Here is a 21069-nt window from a genome sequence, read left to right on the forward strand (position 1 = left end):
AAAGTGATTTATGTGCCATCATTACAGTATTACATGATTCTGTATTTACCTGTGTATTTACCTTTACAGAGAGCTTTACGTGTTTATATGCTTTCAAGTTGTTATCTACTATCCTTTTATTTCAACCCGAGGGACTTCCTTTCGCATTTCTTGTAAGGCAGCTCTAGTGCTGAACTCCTTCAGCTTTTGATGATCTGGAAAGGTCTATTTTTTTCCTTCATTAAAATTTTTGAAATTGTATATATTTATTTTTATAATTTCAACTTTTATTTTAGATTTAGAGGATATATGTGCAGGTTTGTTACATGGGTATATTGCATGATGCTATGGTTTGGGATACAGTTGATCCTGTCACCCAGGTAGTGAGCATAGTACCCAATAGTTAGTGTTTCAACTCTTGTCTCCCTTCCTCCCCTTCCTCTCCTGTCTGCTAGTCCCCAGTGTCTACTGTTGCCATCTTTATGTCTATGTGTACCCAATGTTTAGCTTCCACTTGTAAGTGAGAACATGTAGTATTTGGTTTTCTATCCTTGTGTTAATTCTCTTAGCATAATGGCCTCAAGCTGCATTCATGTTGCTGCAAAGAACATGATTTCATCCTTTTTTTATGACTGCATAGCATTTCATGGTATACATATATCAAATTTTCTTTATCCAATCCACCATTGATGGGCACCTAGGTTGATTTCATGTCTTTGATATTGTGAATAGTGCTGTGATGTACATGAGTGCATGTGTCTTTTTGGTATAACAATTTATTTTCTTTTGGATGTATACCCAGAAATGGAATTGCTAGGTTGAATGGTAGTTCTGTTTTAAGTTCTTTGAGAAATCTCCAAACTGCTTTCCACAGTGGCTGAACTAATCAACATTCCCACCAACAGTGCATAAGTATTCTCTTTTCTCCACAGCCTTATTAGCATCTGTTGTCTTTTGACTTTTTTGTAATAGTCATTCTGACTGGTGTGAGATGGTATCTCATTGTGGTTTTGATTTGCATTTCTCTGATGATTAGTGATGGTAAGCTTTTTTCATGTTTGTTGGGCTGCATGTATGTCTTGTTTTGAGAAGTGTCTGTTCAAAGTTCCTTTGCACACTTTTAATGGGGTTATTTGACTTTTGCTTGTTGAATTCTTTAAGTTCCTTATAGATTCTGGATATTAGACCTTTTGGTGGTTGAATAGTTTGTGAATATTTTCTCCCATTCTGTAGGTTGTCTTTTTACTCTGTTGATAGTTTCATTTGCTGTACAGAAGCTCTTTAGTTTAATTAGGTTCCACTTGTCAATTTTTGTTTTTGTTGCAATTGGTTTTGAGGACTTAATAATACATGCTTTACCAAGGCTAATGTCCAGGATAGTGTTTCCTAGGTTTTCTTCTAGGATTATTACAGTTTGAGGTCTTATTTAAACTCCTTCAGTTTTGAAGGACAGTTTTGCTGGCTACAGTATTTCTGATTGGCAGTTTTTTCTTTTAGCAGTTTGAATGTATCATACCACTCTCTCGTCTGCAGTGTTTCTCCTGAGAAATCCAATAATAATCTCATGCGAGTTCTCTTGTATGTGACAAGTCACTTTTCTCTTGCTGCTTTCAAGATTCTTTGTGTCTGGCTTTTGATAGTTCGGTTACAATGTGTCTCTGTGGGCCTCTTTGGATTCATCCTAGTTGGAGTCCTTTCAGCTTGTTCAATTTAGATTTCCATTTCTTTCTTCATGTTTGGGACATTTTCAGCCATTATTTTTTCAAGTAACCTCTCTGTCCTTTTCTCTCTCTCTCTCCTTCTTTTGATAATCCAGTTAATGCATATATTGGTCAACTAGATGGTGTTCCATAAGTCCCTTAGGCATTCTTCACTTTTCTTCATTCTTTTTACTTTTTGTTGAATTATCAAGCAGGAGCTGGATAATTCTTAATGGGTTTGCTGATTTTGTCTTCTGTTTGATCAAGTTTGCTGTTGAATCTGCTTAGTGTAATTTTTAATTCAGTTTTATATTCTTCAGCTCTATAATTTCCATTTGGTGCACCACCCCCTCCCCCGCCACCCCGAGATGCAGTCTTACTCTGTCGCCCAGAGCTGTAGTGCAATGGTGTGATCTCGGCTCCCTGCAACCTCCGCCTCCCAGGTTAAAGCAATTCTCCTGCCTCTGCTGCCCAAGTAGCTGGGATTACAGGCGCATGCCACCACACCCAGCTAATTTTTGTATTTTTAGTAGAGATGGGGTTTCACCATGTTGGCCAGGCTGGTCTTGAACTCCTGACCTTGTGATCTGCCCGCCTCGGCCTCCCAAAGTGCTGGGATTACAGGCATGAGCCACCACACCCAGCCTTTAAAATAGTTTTTATCTCTTTGTTGGTATTTTCATTTTGTTCATGTATCATTTTCCTGACTTCCTTTATTTGTCTATCTGTCCTCTTGTAGTGCATTGAGTTTCTTTAAGACAACTATTTTGAGTTCTTTGTCTGGTGATTCATAGACTTTCATTTCTTTGGGGTCTTTTTTTTTTTTTTTTTTTTTTTGAGACTTACTTTGTTCCCTTGGTCGGGCCCTTATTTCTTTGTATTCTTGATTATTTTTTGCTGGGATTTGCACATTTTTAAAAAACAGCCACGCTCCCAGTCTTCTGGACTGGCTTCATACAGGGAGGAAGAGATGTTAAGACTCTCTTTAGCCCAGCTATAGAGTCTTAGGGCCTCTCAAACCTTTAATGGGGTTGTATCTCCTCTGAACTGTGCCTGTAATTTCCCAATTACAGAAGTTTGCTGGTTTCTTTTTTAGGCACTTGCTCCCTCTGGTGTCTTTCCATGGTACTGCTGGTTTTCTGGTGTTCCTACAAGCTGCCTAGGTCTCTTTTGTTCTCAGCAGTTCCCAGGCATGCAAAAGTTGCCAGTTCTGTCAGCATTCCAAGTCAGGTAAGACAGAAAGCCATCTCTTAGGCAGTCCCCAGAAAAGCTGAAAGGTTGGATATACTTTCTACTCTTCTCTTTTCTTCATGAGAGAAAGGCCATGAGTTGGGCATTTTCTCCCAATAACACTGAGTTCTGTTGTCTTCTGTCGGCTGTGCTGCAGGTTCTCAGGTGCTGCAGTTAGCTGCTGAACTCTCCGCTGTTCTCAGTGGACCCCAAGCATCCAAAGTATTCTGGTTCTGTCAGTGTTCCACATCAAGCTGGACAGTAACCATTCCCTTGGGCACTTCCCTAAAAAGCTAGAACTTTGGATGCACATTCTATCCTTTTCTTTCCCTTCTGATGAGAAGATGCAAGTTTGGCATTTACTTGCAATTATGTAGGGCTGGACTGGCTTGGGGAAGGCCTATTATGGGTGAAATGCATTAGCTTTTCTTGCCTGTTTCAATGTGGCTGTTCTTGGCTTTGAGCTTGCCTGGGATACTGTGACTTTTTAACTGGTTTCTGGAGTTCTCATAAAGTCTTTTTGGGCCATATGTTGTTGTTAAGTCAGTATCTCTGTGGGGGAATGAGGTCTGGGGATTCCTATTCCACCGTGTTTTCTCTTCTTATAAGGATGCCAGTCATGTTGGATTAGGGCCGCACACTATTCCAGTGTGATCTCATCTTAACTTGATTATATCTGCAAAGAGCCTATTTCCAAATAAGGTCACATTCACAGGTGCCAGGGGTTAGGGCTTTAACTTATCTTTTAGGGGTACATAACTGAACCTACAATAACTTCCACCACTGCTCATAAAAAGATTGAGGCTGGATGCTCACTCTGTGATCCCAGCACTTTGGGAGGCCACAAGGTGGTGGGTGGATTGCTTCAGCCCAGGAGTTTAAGACCAGCCTGGGCAACATGGTGAAACCCTGCCTCTACAAAAAGAAAAAATAAATTAGCTGGGTGTGGTGCCACATGCCTGTAGTCCCAGCTACTCCAGAGGCTGGGAGGTGCGAGGGTCGCTTGAGCCCAAGAGGTCAAGGCTGCAGTGAGCAGAGATCACACCACTGCACTCCAGCCTGGTGACAAAGCGAGACCTTGTCTCACAAAAAAAAAAAAAAAAAAGAAAGAAAAAAGAAACAAAAAGATTGGGGCAAGTCAGCAGACTGAAGAGAGCCACTCTTTAGCGATACATAATTACATACCCTGCCTAAATTATCAGCTATTCTCTCATATGGAGCAAAAACTTTAAATGAAAGGAAACCCTTTTGTCCTCAGTCCAGGCAAAGATTCACTGATTATGGGGGCAGGGTAGAAGCAAAAGCTGCCTGCCCTTAGGGAAGGCACAGAACATTCTCCAGCAGTAGCTGCTACTATTTTGTATTTAGTGTGATCCGTGGGATACTGGAGGGTTTTTGTTTTGTTTTGTTTTTACAGTGTTCCTCCACAGATATAAGGCAAAATTTCATTGCCAAGAGGTTGGGGTAGGGGCACAGAAAGCCGCATACCCGAGGCCTAGGTGCACAGGGCCTAGCTAACACTGAGATATCAGGAGAACAATGAGTTCTGTTAATAGACTGGAGTTAAAAACAGCTGTAGCCTACTGCTGAGGGAGGGACAAGGATGGAGAGAGAGAACCCCCTCTATGGCACAGATATGCAGTGACTGCTGAAAGCTGAGATTGGAGCAGGAACACTGAGTAAAATCCCTTGAACACTGTAGACTCCACATGAAGCACAAGATAGTAGCTGCCCACTGCTAGAGGAAGGTGCACAGAAGGTAACTACAGCAACAGGGAAACAACATCTCAACCACTGACTAGATTCTCTCTCTTTGGAATTTGTTCACCTGGTTGCCTGACAGAATAGGCATCTCCATTTCCAGGAATAACTATTCTTTCCTTCAGTTTATACTGTTATTCTATGGACAATATTTGGAATTCTATAAAAAATTATGAAATATATGAAAAAAAACACAACCATTTTCAAGAGATAAAGCAATCAACAGACCCAGACCCAGAGATGACTCAGATGTTGGAAATACCAGATGAGGACTTTAATTATGATTGATATATTACAGGAACAAGTAGAAAAAGTAGGCCTCATGCATGAACAGTTGGGGAATTTCAGCAGAGAAATGTAAACTCTAAAAAGAGTCATATGGACACACTAAAATAAAAAAACATGATATCTGGGATGAAGAACTCTTTTGACAGGCATTTCAACAGACTGGAAAGAGGTGAGGAATGAATAAATAAATTTGAAGGCAGATCCATAGAAGTTATTCAAACTGAAGCACAAAGAGAAAAAAAGAGTGATATGGAAAGGGAAAAAAAGATATATGAGAAAGAAATGAAAATAACTTGATATAACTCTTCAACTATCCATTTATTCCTGTGATAGGCAGAGGAGTCAATACCTGCCACTATGCTATCATTGCCATTTTTCTTTGTTCAATTCTGTATTCCTTAGTGCTTCTCTGTTCTTGCTGTTTTCTGCTTTCAATATTCACAGTGATAAGCAAAGGTCGTACTCACATTCCAGAACACATCCAGGCTCTATGGTGGAACTTAAGACAACTTTGCAGAAGTTGAGTCAGAAGTCACTTTGAATTAAGCTATTTTGTGTTTCTCTAAATCATATGTCTCTAAAGCACTCAACAAGTGGTATGTTGATTTTCTTTTATTATAGAATGAGTTTCCTAGGAATATTCCTACTCCAAGTCATAGTAGCCTTTGTTTCCTCCTTTCGTAGTTAATCCTGTGTATTAGTTCATTTTCATGCTGCTAATAAAGACATACCTAAGACTGGGAAGAAAAAGAGGTTTAATTGGACTTACAGTTCCACATGGCTGGGGAGACCTCAGAATCATGGCGGGAGGCAAAAGGCACTTCTTACAGGGTGGCGGCAAGAGAAAATGAAGAAGAAGCAAAAGTGAAAACCCCTGATAAACCCATCAGATCTCATAAGAGATTATTCACTATCATGAGAATAGCATGGGAAAGACCAGCCCCCATGATTCAATTACCTCCCCCTGGGTCCCTCCCACAATGCATGGGAATTCTGGGAGATACAATTGAAGTTGAGATTTGAATGGAGACACAGCCAAACCATATCATCCTGTAATCTCATGTGTCTACCATAAGCCCCAACCCAGAATCACCTTTACTTATTTTCTTGGCAGCCTGGGGAGGTCCTCAGGCTCATCAAGGTTCCCTGATGTCTCAGAGTCCCCCAAATTGGTATGTAGACCTTTAGTTATTGTCTAGGCTCCCCTCTCCTTCTCATTTGGCTATTTTGAAAGAACTACATTTTTGGTTGAAAGCAAAGTGGGCAGATACTTAGGCACATGTTTTAGAAAATATGGTAGTCTTTCATGCTTACCCAAGTAATCTACAAAAATGTTCATTGCATTACTGTTTTAAAAGAAAAAAAAGGAAACAGCCTACACAGTCATCAAAAGGAAAGTGAATGAATGAGCTTTGCTGGACTATTCATTCATTGGAATAAAATTTAACAATGAATTATAGGGCTTCACGTATCAACATAGATCAGTCTCAAAAATCATGTTGAATATAAGTTGTGAAACTTATTGGCCTTGTAAGAGCCTAAATGTTATTTAGAAAGGCATTGGGTAAATAGCCACTGTGTCTTTGGTATCATGAGTGATTTCAGGAAACTGGGGAAACAGTGGGATTTTTGAATTCCATTTTTCCACGTGAAGAGGAACTCCTTCCTCTACTGGGTATTCTGAAAACTGACTAACCTTTGCCCCAGGCTGCAAGCCAAGGAGAAGTATTTACTTGTATACTTCTGACTGGTAGCTACCTCCTCCAGTCAGGTCACATGACCCTCCAGAATTACTGCTGCTTTTCACTCTCCAAGATGCAGACAGAAGATAGAAGCTCGGATATCAGTTCCAATTTTGTTTCTTTGGCTGTGCTGTTATGAGTCTATCCATGCATGTGTGTTTCAAGGGTCACGCAGAGAGATGCTTGGACAGAAATTGGGGATTACCCCTCTGGTTCTATCTCAGCAGGATTCTGTTGGGGATTTTAATGTTTTGAGGGGCAGGAAGGATTCATATTATCTTGGCAGAGAGTTATCCAGTGAAGAAGTATTTGGGGTTATACAATGCAGAGATTTCCCACTTTGTGCTGCCCTAGGAAGGGGATTAAATGCAATCGGGGCACTTCTAAACAAATTAACATTTATCAAGTAATTATATATGAGATATCAATTGTGGAAATATAGTATGCTGAAATCAAAAGCATCTTGATGCAAATAGATTACATAATTATATGCAAACTATCAGTGTGGGATGATATTTTGAATAAAGTAGAAATAGATAATAAAGTTCTCTAATGAAAATGCCTGACAGTTTATAAAGCAGCATGATTATTAGAAGGCCTATCCCCTGTTGATAGCCATTGAGAAAAAGTACATTTGAAAGTATGTTAGATGAATATAAAATTCTAACAGTACATACGGACATACTTTCTGAATTTCATAATAAAAATAATAAAGAAATAGAAAATTAGAAAAATAGCTAAGGCAGGCAGATCATCTGAGCCCAGAAGTTCAAGACCAGCCTACTCAACATGGCAAAACCCTGTCTCTACTAAAAATACAAAAATTAGCCAGGCGTGGTGGTGTGTGCCTGTAGTTTCAGCTCTCAGGAGGCTGAGGCAGGAGAATCACTTGAACCCAGGAGGTGGAGGTTGCAGTGAGCTGATATTGCACCTTTGCACTCCAGCCTGAGAGACAGAGTGAGACTCCATCTCAAAAAAAAAAAGGGGAAAATGTAGAATAAAACAAATTTCAGAAGCATTTCATATTTTCACAAAAATGAACAATAGTACAAGTTTTTTTTTTTTTTTTTTGAAATGGAGTCGCACTCTTTCATCCAGGCTGGAGTGCAGTGGCGTGATCTCGGCTCACTGCAACCTTTGCCTCCTGGGTTCAAGCGATTCTTCTGCCTCAGCCTTCTGAGTAGCTGGGACTACAGGCGCTCGCCACCATGCCCAGCTAATTTTTTGTATTTTTAGCAGAGACGGAGTTTCGCTGTGTTAGCCAGGATGGTCTCGATGTCTTCACCTCGTGATCTGCCCACCTCGGCCTCCCAAAGTGCTGGGATTACAGGCATGAGCCACTGCACCCTGCCAATAGTACAATTTTTATTTGGAGAGGTAAACACCAAATTCAGAATAGTGATTAAAGTATTAGGGAGGAGAATATGAACTTGGAAAAGTACAGTTTCCTTTCCAAGTTTGAAAAGTAAAAATTTTGTAAAATACCTGATACAGACATGAAAAACATGAAGTAGTGGTGAAAAAAAAAAAGAAGGGTGAATTATTGTGAAGTTAATGATAGATTAGAATTGGGAAGCTCTTTGGACCCTTTGGTAACCCAGAAACTGGCTACCTTCTCTACTTGTCTCTCACGGCCTCTGCACTCTAACCAAGGAGGAATGACCTTACTGAGTTTGTTAATCCCTATCTGATGGGGAATGCTGCTCTGGCAATGCCTCTGTTTTGGGCTTGGATCCCTGGGGTTTAGGGCAGCAGAATGTGTTGCCAAGAAACAATGTTTCTCAGAAGTAGAGTGCAAGATTTTCTAAGAGATCCAGATTCAGTCCTTGACCTACTGCAGTTTGCCCCTCCTCTGCACGCTGTGCACTTCTGTTGCTGTATTACCAGCTGACATTGCGAATCCTGCATTTCTGCCTGTCTTCCTAGGCTATTGGTTATTCAAGCACTCATTCTTTGGCCATAGAGGGTGCTTAATAAATGTGGAATAAATGCAAGTGAGTGCTCCCTTGTAAGACATGGAATAAAAGTGGTAAAAAAAAATTGATTATACCGCAATACATGAAATATGTGGCTAAATGAGAATTTATTTGTTTTATTTAGAAACAAGTTCTCATTCTGACTGGGGGCAGTGGCTCACGCCTGTAATCCTAGCACTTTGGGAGGCCGAGGTGGGTGGATCACTTGAGGTCAGAAGTTTGAGACCAGCCTGGCCAACATGTTGAAGCCCCATCTCTACTAAAAATACAAAAATTAGCTGGGCATCGTGATGCATGCCTGTAATCCCAGCTACTCAGGAGGCTGAGGCGGGAGAATTGCTTGAGCCCAGGAGGCGGAGGTTGCAGTGAGCCGAGATCACACCACTGCATTCCAGCCTGGGTGAGAGCAACTCCACGTCTCAAAAAAGAAAAGTAAAAAAAAAAGAAACAAGATCCCACTCTGTCACCCAAGCTGGAGTACAGTGCTGCAATCATTAGCTCATTGTAACCTAGAACTTCAGGGCTCAGGTGACCCTCCTGCCTCAAGTGATCCTCCTGCCTCAGCCTCCCAAGTAGCTAGCACTACAGGTACACACCACCACATCCAGCTAATTTTTAAACATTTTTTGTAGAGATGGGGGTCTCATCTTCTTGCCCAGGCTGGTCTCAAACTCCTGGCCTCAAGAGATCCTCCCATCTCGGCCTCCCATAGCACTTGGATTACAAGTGTGAACCACCACACCTGGCCACAATTTTTAAAAAATAACTGATACATGTTGGCCAGGTGCGGTGGCTCATGCCTGTAATCCCAGCACTTTGGGAGGCTGAGGCAGGCGCATCACGAAGTCAGGAGTTTGAGACCAGCCTGACCAACAAGGTGAAACCCAGTCTCTAAGAATACAAAAAAATTAGCCAGGTGTGGTGGCATGCACTTGTAATCCCAGCTAATCGTGAGGCTGAGGCAGGAGAATTGCTTGAACCTGGGAGGCGGAGGTTGCAGTGAGCTGAGATCGCACCACTGCACTCCAGCCTGGGTGACAGAGCAAGACTCCAACTCAAAAAAGAAAAAAAAAACTATAAATATATTACACATAGAACAATGGTCCTCAAACTTTAGTATGCATCAGAACCACCCTAGAGGAGTAACTTAACAAAAAGGGGAGAGAATGTATGTGTGTATGTCTTAACAAAAACAGATTGCTGGGTTCTACCCTAGAGTTTCTGATTCAGTAGGTCTGGTTGGGGTCTGAGAATCTGCATTTCTAAGAAGCTTCCAGGTGATGCTGATACTGCTGGTCCAGCGACCATTAATTGAGAACGACTGCATTAGAAAAATCATGGGAAAAAATATGGAAATACATAATGAAAATAACAAAATCAAATATCCCTTTCCTTCAAGTATCATTCCTTTGGGAATGGCTTCCAAAGAAATCCAAAACAAGCAAATTGTTTCACTATAACACTTAACAAATTTTGTTAGTGTACCCTATTGCAAATGGGATATTAACCACCTTTACTTTCAGGGACCTAATCTGTAAAATGAGGATAACAGTGTATCTTTTAACTAGAAATATCTCACAGGGTTGTGAGGATTAAATTATCAAGTGTTCAGAACAGTGGATTAATATATATTGCTATTATTATATTAATATTTTTGGTTAAGATACATCAAAACTAACCACAGAAAAGTGAGAAAGAGAGAAGTTCTGAATAGGAGATATTAATTTATGAGTCATTAAGGTATAGAAGATCAATTAGAGAAAGCCCTGAACAGAAAGGCAATATATTTTTGCTTACTTATAAAAATGAAATTGTATCTTAGAGGGCAAAGTGCGTCTTGATTTTGCATTTGAGAGTTTACTGTTTGATAGATAACTTCACATAAAAACCTTTGCATTGAAAAAAAATTATTTTATTGGAATTTTTTGGTTACAAATATATTTGAGCTAAAATATGTAAAAAATAAAAGAAGAGATGTTCTTGAAATTCCACTCCCCACCTCCTGGGATGCCAACATTTTTATTAATATCCTTTCAGACATCTCTCTATATTGCAATAACTTTTAAAGAAAGTGTTTGGGAAAGTAAAGGTTAGGAAATAGTTACAAATTCTTTATGTTAAATATTTTATTAATATCCAAAATAGCATCATCAAAAGTTCTTTTTTGGCTGGGTGGGGTGGCTCACACCATTAATCCCAACACTTTGGAAGGCTGAGGTGTGCAAGTCACTTGAGCCCAGGAGTTCAAGACCAGGCTGGGCAACATGGCGAAACCCCGTCTCTACAAAAAATACAAAAATTAGCTGGGTGTGGTGGCACATGCCTATAGTCCCAGCTACTTGGGAGGCTGAGGCAGGAGGTTCACTTAAGCCCGGGAGGTGGAAGTTGCAGTGAGCCAAGATCACACCATTACACTCCAGCCTGGGTGACAGACCTGTCTCAAAAAAGGAAAAAACAGTTTTTTTGTTTTGCTGACTAGATGGGAGTAGGGAGGTAGGAATGGAAGAGAGAAGTCCTTGGGAAAAAGCAATTTGATTATCTAGTCTTTTCTCTCCCTCTGTCCCCAACCACAACAATTTAATTCCAGTTTTATTTTAAAAATCAAGATTGCGGTTATATGTGGCATTAGTATCCCATCCTAAATTGGAGACGATAGGGATAGGAAACATTGTGAGCTTGGGCAGGAAGGACGATGACTGGGTTTTTAATTTGATCCTATAATTATTATGATGTCATGTTAATAGTTTAAACATTCTTGTTAAAAGACTTGTAATATTGAAAATATTCCAGCCACTGTTATAAAATAGTGTATTGAAATATTCTAGGAAAAATATTAAAAAGCAGTGCTTCCTTTGCTGGATTTCCCTGATACTCCACTCTTTCTCCATTCACTCTTGTGTGCCCTTCATGTCAACTTCTGAAACACCAATATGTTCTGTAGAAACTCAGATTATGAAATCTGAGTTACGTTTTTTCAGCCCTGAAAACAGCTTTGGAGAGGAAGCTAGATGACTAGGCTAAAATTCCAGAGCAATCTTTATTGTTCTTTCGCCTTCTGAAAATGGGGGAGAGAAGTGCCAAGGGTGAAACTAGAGGTGTGGCCAGGTCGGGGAAATATTTTGTTTCTGCTCTAAATTGTCCTTCCTGTTGCCTATGACTGGAATGATCTTCAGTGCTTTAGGGTTAGTTTCATACTTGGCTCATGCTGGAAAGGAAAGGTTTCCTGAAGCCTTTTCATAGTTTATCTGAAGTGATTTCTGTCAGTGAAAATAGGTATCTTAGAAATTCTAAAGTAAAACAAAAATGATAAATGCTTTATATTATCTAGACTTTTAGGTAGTTATACTAAGGTCACAGGAATTACGTATGGACTCAGATTCTAACTTTAGCATGATATATTAAATGTCTGACAGACTTGAAAATAGACCTGTCTTTGAATAACTTAAAGCCATATCAAGAGTAAATTTCTTGAAGTGGGTAAACGTGAAGTTTTCTATGTATAATTGACCCTACATCGTGATAATGTCAAATATATTTATACTTGATCTCTTCTTAAATGGCCTAAGTGGGGAAGGGAAACCTTTCATTTTGTGTAAAGTTTATTGATTCATCTGTGGTGTAACATTCAAGTTCAAGGTATTGAGACAGATACTACTTGGCATACCATTCTAATGCCACTTACAAAAGTGGTTTCTATTTGAAAGTTCCAAATAGATACTCCAGAACTGACAGGGGAATTCCAGCAAGGTCATTCACCCATTAAAACTTTAAAGAAAAAAAAAAAAGCGAAGGAAAAAAATTGCCTTTGTGTAAACATTAACCTATCTGCTTTTAAGTGGTTCTTTTTGTTTAATTTTTTTAATATTAAAGGGAGAGTTCAAACTGGTTTTTTAAATATTTCAAATCACAAATAATAAATTTAATTAATTTAGAAGTTAAGTTTATACCTTTGTGGTTTATTATATCTCTTCTGGGTTGGCAAAATATCCAATGCTTTAAAAAAAATGGCTTCCCATTGTGCAGCCCACAAAATACAAGAGACAGAGTACAGGCAGGAAGGAATTCTTAAAGCGTCTGTGGTATGTTATCCTTGGTAGTTATATCAGTTGAAACATACCAAGTTCTTGCTCTTGCAGCTTTATAAACCTGCCTGACAGACAGTCATTTGACTAAGCAAACATTGCTGGAAATACATGATGAATTAAAGTATTGTCATTCTGTAAATGTCTTTTGTGAGGTCTAGATACACAGTGAAATGTTGACTGTTTAGAAAATAGCAAAAGCAGTTATTCATCCCTAGGCTGGCAGTTTATTCAGTCCTGAATCTTGAAATTCATATTTCATTTAATGTTAAAATTCTCACATATGGTGCCTCATAAAATGATAGCACATTGAATTTAGTTTTAATTTTAATTATGTTGGTAGCTTTCAAATCTTTTTTGTTGGAGTTGTGTGAGTCTGTAGGGGCTTCTGTGAAAGTTTCTATATAATTTATGCTTTCAGTCCCTCCTGTTCCACAGACTCATACTGCTGCAGAGATGGCAGATACATTCATTGTCTACTTTGGACAAAATAGAGCTTTTAAAAAATGTTTATTAAATGTTGAGTAGATACAAAATATTTATAAAACATCTGTAAGGCTTATGGAATAACTATACAGAGAACATTTGTGTACCTACAGCCTAGTTTAAGAAAGCAATATTACCATTACTTCTAGTGTCTCCTGTGGGCTCATTCCTGATTCTATACTTTTCTTGTACCCTCAGAAGTAACCAGAGTTTTAAATTTTGTGTTAATAATTCTCTTGCGGTTCTCAATGGTTTTATCACATTTCTATATATCCCTAAACAGTATATTGATTAGTTTTTCATGTTTTTGAACTTTATAAAAATGAAATCCTATTGTATGTCTTTTTCTGGGACATGCCTTTTTTTAAAAAAAAATCTACATTATAGCCTTAGATTTATCCATGTCAACGCTTATAGCATTCCTCATTAGTTTTCACTGCTGTATAATGTAGCATTGTAGGAGTATTACAGAATTTCCTAGCAGATGAGTTGATGGATGAGCATTGTGATGTTTCAGTTGTTAGTTATTACAAACATTGCACCTAAGTATACATATATTCCTGTGTTTGTATCTACCGCATATATGCAATCATTTCTCCATCAATGTTCCCTAACCTTTCTTGTGTCACGGCACACATAGAAAATGATAGATGATATGTGTGCAATACACCAGGTTAAAGAAGTAAAGCTATGTCCTGGCCTGGGGGCTTCTGCTGAACTAGAGAGCTGAGTTCCATATCTGGGCACACCTGTCACCCATTCATTGCATACTAGGGTGCCTTGGCACACCAGTTGGGAAGCTCTGCTAGTGTGTGTGCCTGGGAGTAGAATTGCTGATTATAGGTGAATGCTTCTTCAGTCCTTCTAGGCTAGATACCAAATTGCATGGTGGTATTAATTATTTCACTTAACTGACATCTAAAGTGTTTGTATCAATTCACGTTCTCTAAATATATTTAAATCAACAAGATTTGAGAATTCTACCAACCTCCTAATTATGAATGTTAAGTAGGAAAAGAAATAATTATTCCCTAGGATATCAATTCAGATTTGCTTTCTCGAAACATGATAATATCAAAATTCTTTGACAATGTGACAGCAGAGAGTTGTAGGTAGTAGGCAATGTTAAAAAGTGACAACATGCCCCGTAGTTGTTATTAATTGTGAAAGCCACAGCTTAAGCGAAATGAATTACTTATGAGAGCTGTAATTCTGTCTTCCAAGTTGGGTATTGCATTGGCTTTTTGTTTCTTAGCCTCAGGGACTGTTTTCAGATAATGTATACAAGATGGAGTAATGAAAACTATTTGCTATGTAAGTAACTTTTTTTTTTTTTTTGAGAAGGAGTCTTGCTCTGTCGCCCAGGCTGGAGTGGAGTGGTGCGATCTCAGCTCACTGCAACCTCCACCTCCCGGATTCAAGCAATTCTCCTGCCTCAGCCTCCCAAGTAGCTGGGATTACAGGCGCCCGCCACCACGCCCAGCTAATTTTTGTATTTTTAGTAGAGATAAGGTCTCACCATGTTGGCCAGGCTGGTCTCAAACTCCTGACCTCAGGTGATCCACCCACCTCAGCCTCCCAAAGTACTGGGATTACAGGCATGAGCCATTGTGCCCGGCCTAAGTAAGTGACTTTTAGTGTAGAAAGGCAAACCTTAAGAAACGAGCTAGTTTATCTTGACTACTCTTAAAATTGGTTTTCTTTTAAACAGTAGAGATCTCAATCAGAATTACATTAGGTTAATAAATGATAATAATTTCTCCATTCAAATGACATCAGACTAGATGATTGATTTTAGAAAAATTACAACCTGACATAGGTTTCCCATGGCATTTTCAAGAAGCTTCTGGACATTACCTCCACGGTTACCATTCTAATGGCTTGCTCATAGACAAATGTAAAAGAAATTTTTACTTGGTGGGAGTATTACCTTCCGGCTTGCAGGCTGAGGATATTTTAAATTAGATGGAAAATATGAGAGCAAAGATTTCAAACTCATGCTTACCCTGGTTTATGAAAATCTAATGCCAAATTTGTATTTTAATTTATTTGGCAGAGATTAAACTGCAATTTAAATACAGATTAAAACTGCATTTTCATTTTACTGGTATACTGTGTACTACACTTAAGTCAGGGTCTCAGTTGTTTTTATATAAATTAGGATTGGAAGCATAGTACCAATTCTGGAATTAACACCTATAGTATGTGACAGTAGTGCATGTGTGTGTGCGTGCATATATACATGCATGTATATATACATATGTGTGTATATATTATATGCGTGCACACATATACACATGCATGCACACACATATGCGTGCACACATATACACATGCGTGCACACACATATGCGTGCACACACATATACACATGTGTATATTACATATATGCGTGCACACACATATGCGTGCACACACATATACACATGTGTATATTATATATGCATGCACACACATATGCGTGCACACACATATACACGTGTATATTATATATATGCACACACAGATATGCACATACCATGCTCTCGTGTTTTACATATGTATGTGTGTGTATAGTATTGATTGAGGCTCAATGCATATTCAACACTATCAAATAGCATTCATTAAGCATCTGGTTATAGTCAGTTCTGTAACTTCACTCTCAGCATGTAGCTAAGCTCTAGCTACAGACATATAGGATACATAATAAATGAGACTCAATAGCAAAATAGTGGTAAATATGAACGATACATTCAAGATTTTTTTCATTATTTTTCTCCTTTGAATACAAAGTGTTTATTGTGATTTGCCACATGTGGCCATATTCTTATTTTTTTATTATAAGTAACCGAGTTTTTTGATGTTTGTTTGTTTGTTTGTTTGAGATGGAGTCTCACTCTGTTGCCAAGACTGCAGTGCAGTGGCTCAATCTTGGCTCACTGTAACCTCTGCCTCCTGGGTTCAAGCAATTCTCCTGCCTCAGCCTCCCGAGTATCTGGGATTACAGGCATGCGCCACCATGCCCGGCTAATTTTTGTATTTTTAGTAGAGACAAGGTTTCACCATGTTGGCCATGATTGTTTGGAACTCTTGACCTCAGGTGATCTGTCCACCTCAGCCTCCCAAAGTGCTGGGATTATAGGCGTGAGCCACCACGCCCGGCCGTGACTGAGTTTTAATAGCAAGTACACATTTTCCTATAGCTGGCTATTATATAAGTGCTTCTTTAATTTCTACCCAAGTATCCCCTTACGGAAATGGTAAGTCAATTTATAGCCCTAGAAATAGGAAGATGACCTCCTGTAAGAACATTCTATGCTTGAAATGTCAGGATTTGTCTTTAAAAGCTCATGTAAAATTTGCATTTTTCATTCTGTTTCAATATATTTTCCCCTATATAAAGTTGATACTACAGAAAGATCTGTTCTGCGGCTTCATATACCCCAGTTTGAGGAGCACGTTAAGTGGAATTCTATTTGCCAAAGGCCTTTAAATCAGAAGGGCTTTCTTCTAGGAAAATGTTGACTTCTGTAATCTGGGTTCCGTTTAGGCTTCACTGAAAGTGAAAGAAGTTTCTTGGGTGACTTTGGCCATCAGTGGTCTCTGTCTCTTTTTGTGATCATCTTGTCATCTTTTGTGTATCTTTGTTTCTTAGACAGTGCATTTGATGGAACCCTTTTTCCTAGATCTTTCTTTTGTCTTGGTTGCCAGGAAATTACACCATCCTGCTCCTTTTCAAAATCCTCTGTCCATCCCTACTCTGTTTTCCATGCTTCTCTGGTATTACCCTGTGTTTATATTTCACAGCTCAGTTTTGGCCGCTCCTTCCTCACTCTGTATAATCTTTCTCAGTTATCTCAGTTCTGTTCTCTCATACTGTGTATCCAGATGCCTTTTGGACAATTCAACTAGGACATTTTAGAGTCACTTCACACTTTGCCTTTATAAACTCACTCTCACATCCCCGGTGCCTTGCACAGTAGGTACCAACAAATATTTATTGAATGAATGAGTTAAATGAATCTCACTCCCTTCATCTCATTTCTGTCTTTTGTCACTGGTGTCACTGTTCTGATCTCTCTTTGATATTGCAAGTATTTTTTATTTTTTCTTTTGAAATACATTTTATATTTGATTATTTTCACTGTAATTTCATTATCTTTACCCTAATGTAGGCCCTCGTCACCTCATGCCAAGATTACTTCCACAGTTGCCCATCTGACCTTTTTGGTTCTAACTTCTCCTTTCTCCAAGCCATTTTCACTATAGCTGTTCTAATAATTTTTAAAATGTTTGTTTATTGGGAAAAAAGTCTATCTATTGTTTTAATAAACTTTTTGTTTTTGAAATAGTTAGAGATGTATAGAAAATCTGCTAAGATAGTACAGAAAGTTCCTGTAGAAACTTTACCCACCTTCTCCTGATGTTAACATCTTACATAACTATGGCTCATTTATCAAAATTAAGAAATTAACATTGGTACATGACTATTAACTAAAAGCCAGACTTTATTTGGTTTTCACCAGTTTTTCCATGACTGTAGTTTTTCTATTCCAGGATCTAATCCAGCGTACCACATTACATTTGGCATACCTTTTTTTTTTTTTTTTTTTTGAGACGGAGTTTTGCTCTTGTTGCCCAGGCCGGAGTGCAATGGCGCGATCTTGGCTCACCGCAACCTCCACCTCCCGGGTTCAAGCAATTCTGCCTCTGCCTCCCGAGTAGCTGGGATTACAGGCATGCACCTCCACGTCCAGCTAATTTTGTATTTTTAGTAGAGATGGGGTTTTTCAGTGTAGGTCAGGCTGGTCTCGAACTCCCGACCTCAGGTGATCTGCCCGCCTCGGCCTCCCAAAGTGCTGGGATTCCAGGCGTGAGCCACCGTGCCTGGCCACAGTCACCTAATTTTTAAATTCCAGTATCCTATTAGATATCTGTACTATAATTTAATTTACCAGTTCCTTCCTGATTTCCATCTTTTTCTTTTGCCAACAATGCTGCAGTTAATATTCACGTACATGTGTATGTTTTTAGTTATTGCTGGGTGAAAGTGTATGTGTTCATAATTTGATTGCCAATTTGCTCTTCAGAGAGGTTCTATCAATTTATCCTCCATTATTTTCCCATAACCTCACCAACATTGTATCTTATGAAACTTTTTTAACTTTGCCAATTTGTTAGGTGAAAATATAGGTTAAGATGACGTCATTGTACTTTTAATTTTGATTTCTCTTATAATGAGTGAGGTTGAGTGTCTTTTTATTTTTATTTTTATTTATTCATTTTTTTGAGACGGAGTCTTGCTCTGTCGCCCAGGCTAGAGTGCAGTGGTGCGATCTCAGCTCACTGCCAGCTCTGCCTCCTGGGTTCACGCCATTCTCCTGCCTCAGCTTCCAGAGTAGCTGGGACTACAGGCACCCGCCACCACGCCCGGCTAATTTTTTTTTATTTTTTATTTTTAGTAGAGACGGGGTTTTACCATGTTAGCCAGGATGGTCTCTATCTCCTGACCTCGTGATCCGCCTGCCTCGGCCTCCCAAAGTGCTGGGATTACAGGCGTGAGCCACCGCGCCCAGCCGAGTGCCTTTTTATATATTTAAGAGCCATTTATATTTCTTCTCTGAACTGTTCATGTACTTTGCCCACTTTTCAATTAGGTTGTTTATTAAAGCACCTTTATTATTTTATTTTCTCGCTTTAAAATCTTTTGATTCCTCCCATTTTCTGATATTTTAATTTTAAATCCTAGTCCCTTTTTCTAGACTTTACATTCTATGTTTCAATTCCGATTTCCCAGTACTTTTCAACAACCACCCCTGCTATGACCAGCCTGGTTTCTTCCCTCTCCCAGGGGCACACCGTGCTTGCCCCTTCCGCCATGCTTTCTTTTCTAATGTTCCCCTACTTTTCTCCTCCACTTATATCTCCTATTTTGAGACAGAGATTCATGTCATTTCCTCCATTTGTGTAAACTTCCTTTTAACCTCAAGGAGACTTCTAGAAAAAAGAATTAACTTATAGTTTGTAAACTCTTTAAAAAAATGATAATCACTAAGAACCGGCACAATTAAAAAAAAAAAAACTGCTCAAACAAACTACATCTTCATTTCCATTAGAGTTTGACAAGATTGGGATGCTGTGGACATGTCTTTACTTACAAGGTATTTTGTTCTCCTGACATATTTGAGGAACTACAAAAATATAAGCTGTATGAGAATAGGTGGTTTTGTAGCTGATCAAACATGTGCACCCAAAGAATATTGATTTATGGATCAGTATCAAACTAAAGGTCTCTAATAACATGTTTCAGAACTCTATTCTCAATCTTGACTGTTCAATGTTTATTTACTAATAATTTGGGTGAAATCATGGTCATTAAGTAGACGTAGTTAGGCTGAAAAGGTTACTTACTATGACAGAGGACAGCCAGCATGATTCAAAATGATCTTAATAATTTGGAAAAGTGGGCTAAAACCAAAATGTGAAATGTAAAAAGGTTGTATGTAGGACCCTGTGTTTCATTTCTAAAATTAACTGAGAAAAGAATGAGGGGGTTCTCTCACAAGGACAGGTCATTGGATTTAGAGCCCACTTAGATAATCCAGGATGATCTCATTTTGAGATCCTTAGTCACATCAGCAAAGCCTCCTTTTCCAAATACAGTCACATTCATAGATTCCGGGGATTTGACATGGGTTCTTTCTGAGGGGCCACCATTCAGCCTACTACAAAGAGGAACTTGCAGCCGTCACGTGTGTCGCTTTGCATCCCTTGCTCTCTCCTCCTCATAGACTGCTACCTTGGCTCAGTGTCACCTCAAAACTGCCTATTTGGTTTTGGGAGGTAGAGGGGTGGTTAAAAGCTGAGAAGGTAAGAAGGACCAGGTATGATCAGACTGGCTGTGAAGGGGATTCTGGAACTTGAAGCAGAGGCTTTGGGCAGGACCAGCTTCCTGTCAGGTTCAAGTGTTCCCTTGTCAATCACATTCTGTCCTTTGGCTGCTGAAAACCTTCCCATGGCATCTCAGTGTATGAAATCCAAACCTCTCCCCACAGTTACAGGGTCCCTGACTACTTTTTTGGGCCTCACATTTGGTCCTTGATCTCTGCTTTGGCCACACTGGCCTTCGTCCTCTTGGTTCTTGAGCAAGCCAAGGTCATTCTTGCCTCTGAACCTTTACATTGGCTGTTCCTTTGGCTGAAACACTGTTCCTTTCTACTTGCTTCACGCTTGGTTCCTTCGCTTGAAACACTGTTTCTTCCCCTCACTCCTCAGTTCATGTTCCTCTCAGCTCAAACTTCCCTCCTTCTCAGTGAGTCCTGAATATTGAGTTTTCCCCAGTCACCCTGTTCTCTTATCATCACAGTACTTGGCACCCCATGAAATTTCCTGGTTTGTCTATTCTCCACCCTCCTGCTGGAATGTCCGTCCCGGGAGAATAGGAGTCTTGTCAGATGGATTCATTGCTAGCACAGTGCCTGGCAGGTAGCAAGTGTTTACTTTGCAACTCCAGGGGAAAGTGGGATTCTCAGACCCATGAAATCCAACTAGGATCAGCTCAAGCCCTTTCCACATATACTTAAAAGCCTCAAACCCCACCACGCCCCCAGGATTTTAGCAGAATCTGGAGTGGCTCCTGTTCTCCAGGGCACCTCTGCCCTGGAGCAGCTTATCTATTGATCCAGACACGAATCTTAGCCTGTTCCTCAGCTCCCACAAGAAAGCCCGTCCTTACAGTAGCAGCTGACATTTACCCAGCAGTTACTATGTTCCAGGCACAGGTCCAACTACTTTGTATGAGCTACATCACTTCATCCTACCTAAAAAGTAGGTGAAATATTGTGCC

At 39.5% G+C, this 21069-nt stretch overlaps 1 protein-coding gene across 4 annotated transcripts in view, besides 1 other annotated feature; it reads left to right on the top strand.

Annotated features, from left to right (window-relative positions):
* MAP3K13 (mitogen-activated protein kinase kinase kinase 13) overlaps positions 1–21069 on the top strand; it is a 206134-nt gene that overhangs the window by 22556 nt on the left and 162509 nt on the right. The gene's annotated exons all lie outside the window — the stretch shown is intronic.
* Positions 6684–6733: an enhancer, noted in NCBI's record as "active region_20921". NCBI's record gives its function as "activates an Ori minimal core promoter by ATAC-STARR-seq in GM12878 lymphoblastoid cells {active_cell/tissue: GM12878}" and the evidence as "EXISTENCE:reporter gene assay evidence [ECO:0000049][PMID:35858748]".

The sequence above is a fragment of the Homo sapiens genome, chromosome 3, assembly GCF_000001405.40.
Source record: "Homo sapiens chromosome 3, GRCh38.p14 Primary Assembly".
Taxonomy (NCBI): Eukaryota; Metazoa; Chordata; class Mammalia; order Primates; family Hominidae; genus Homo; species Homo sapiens.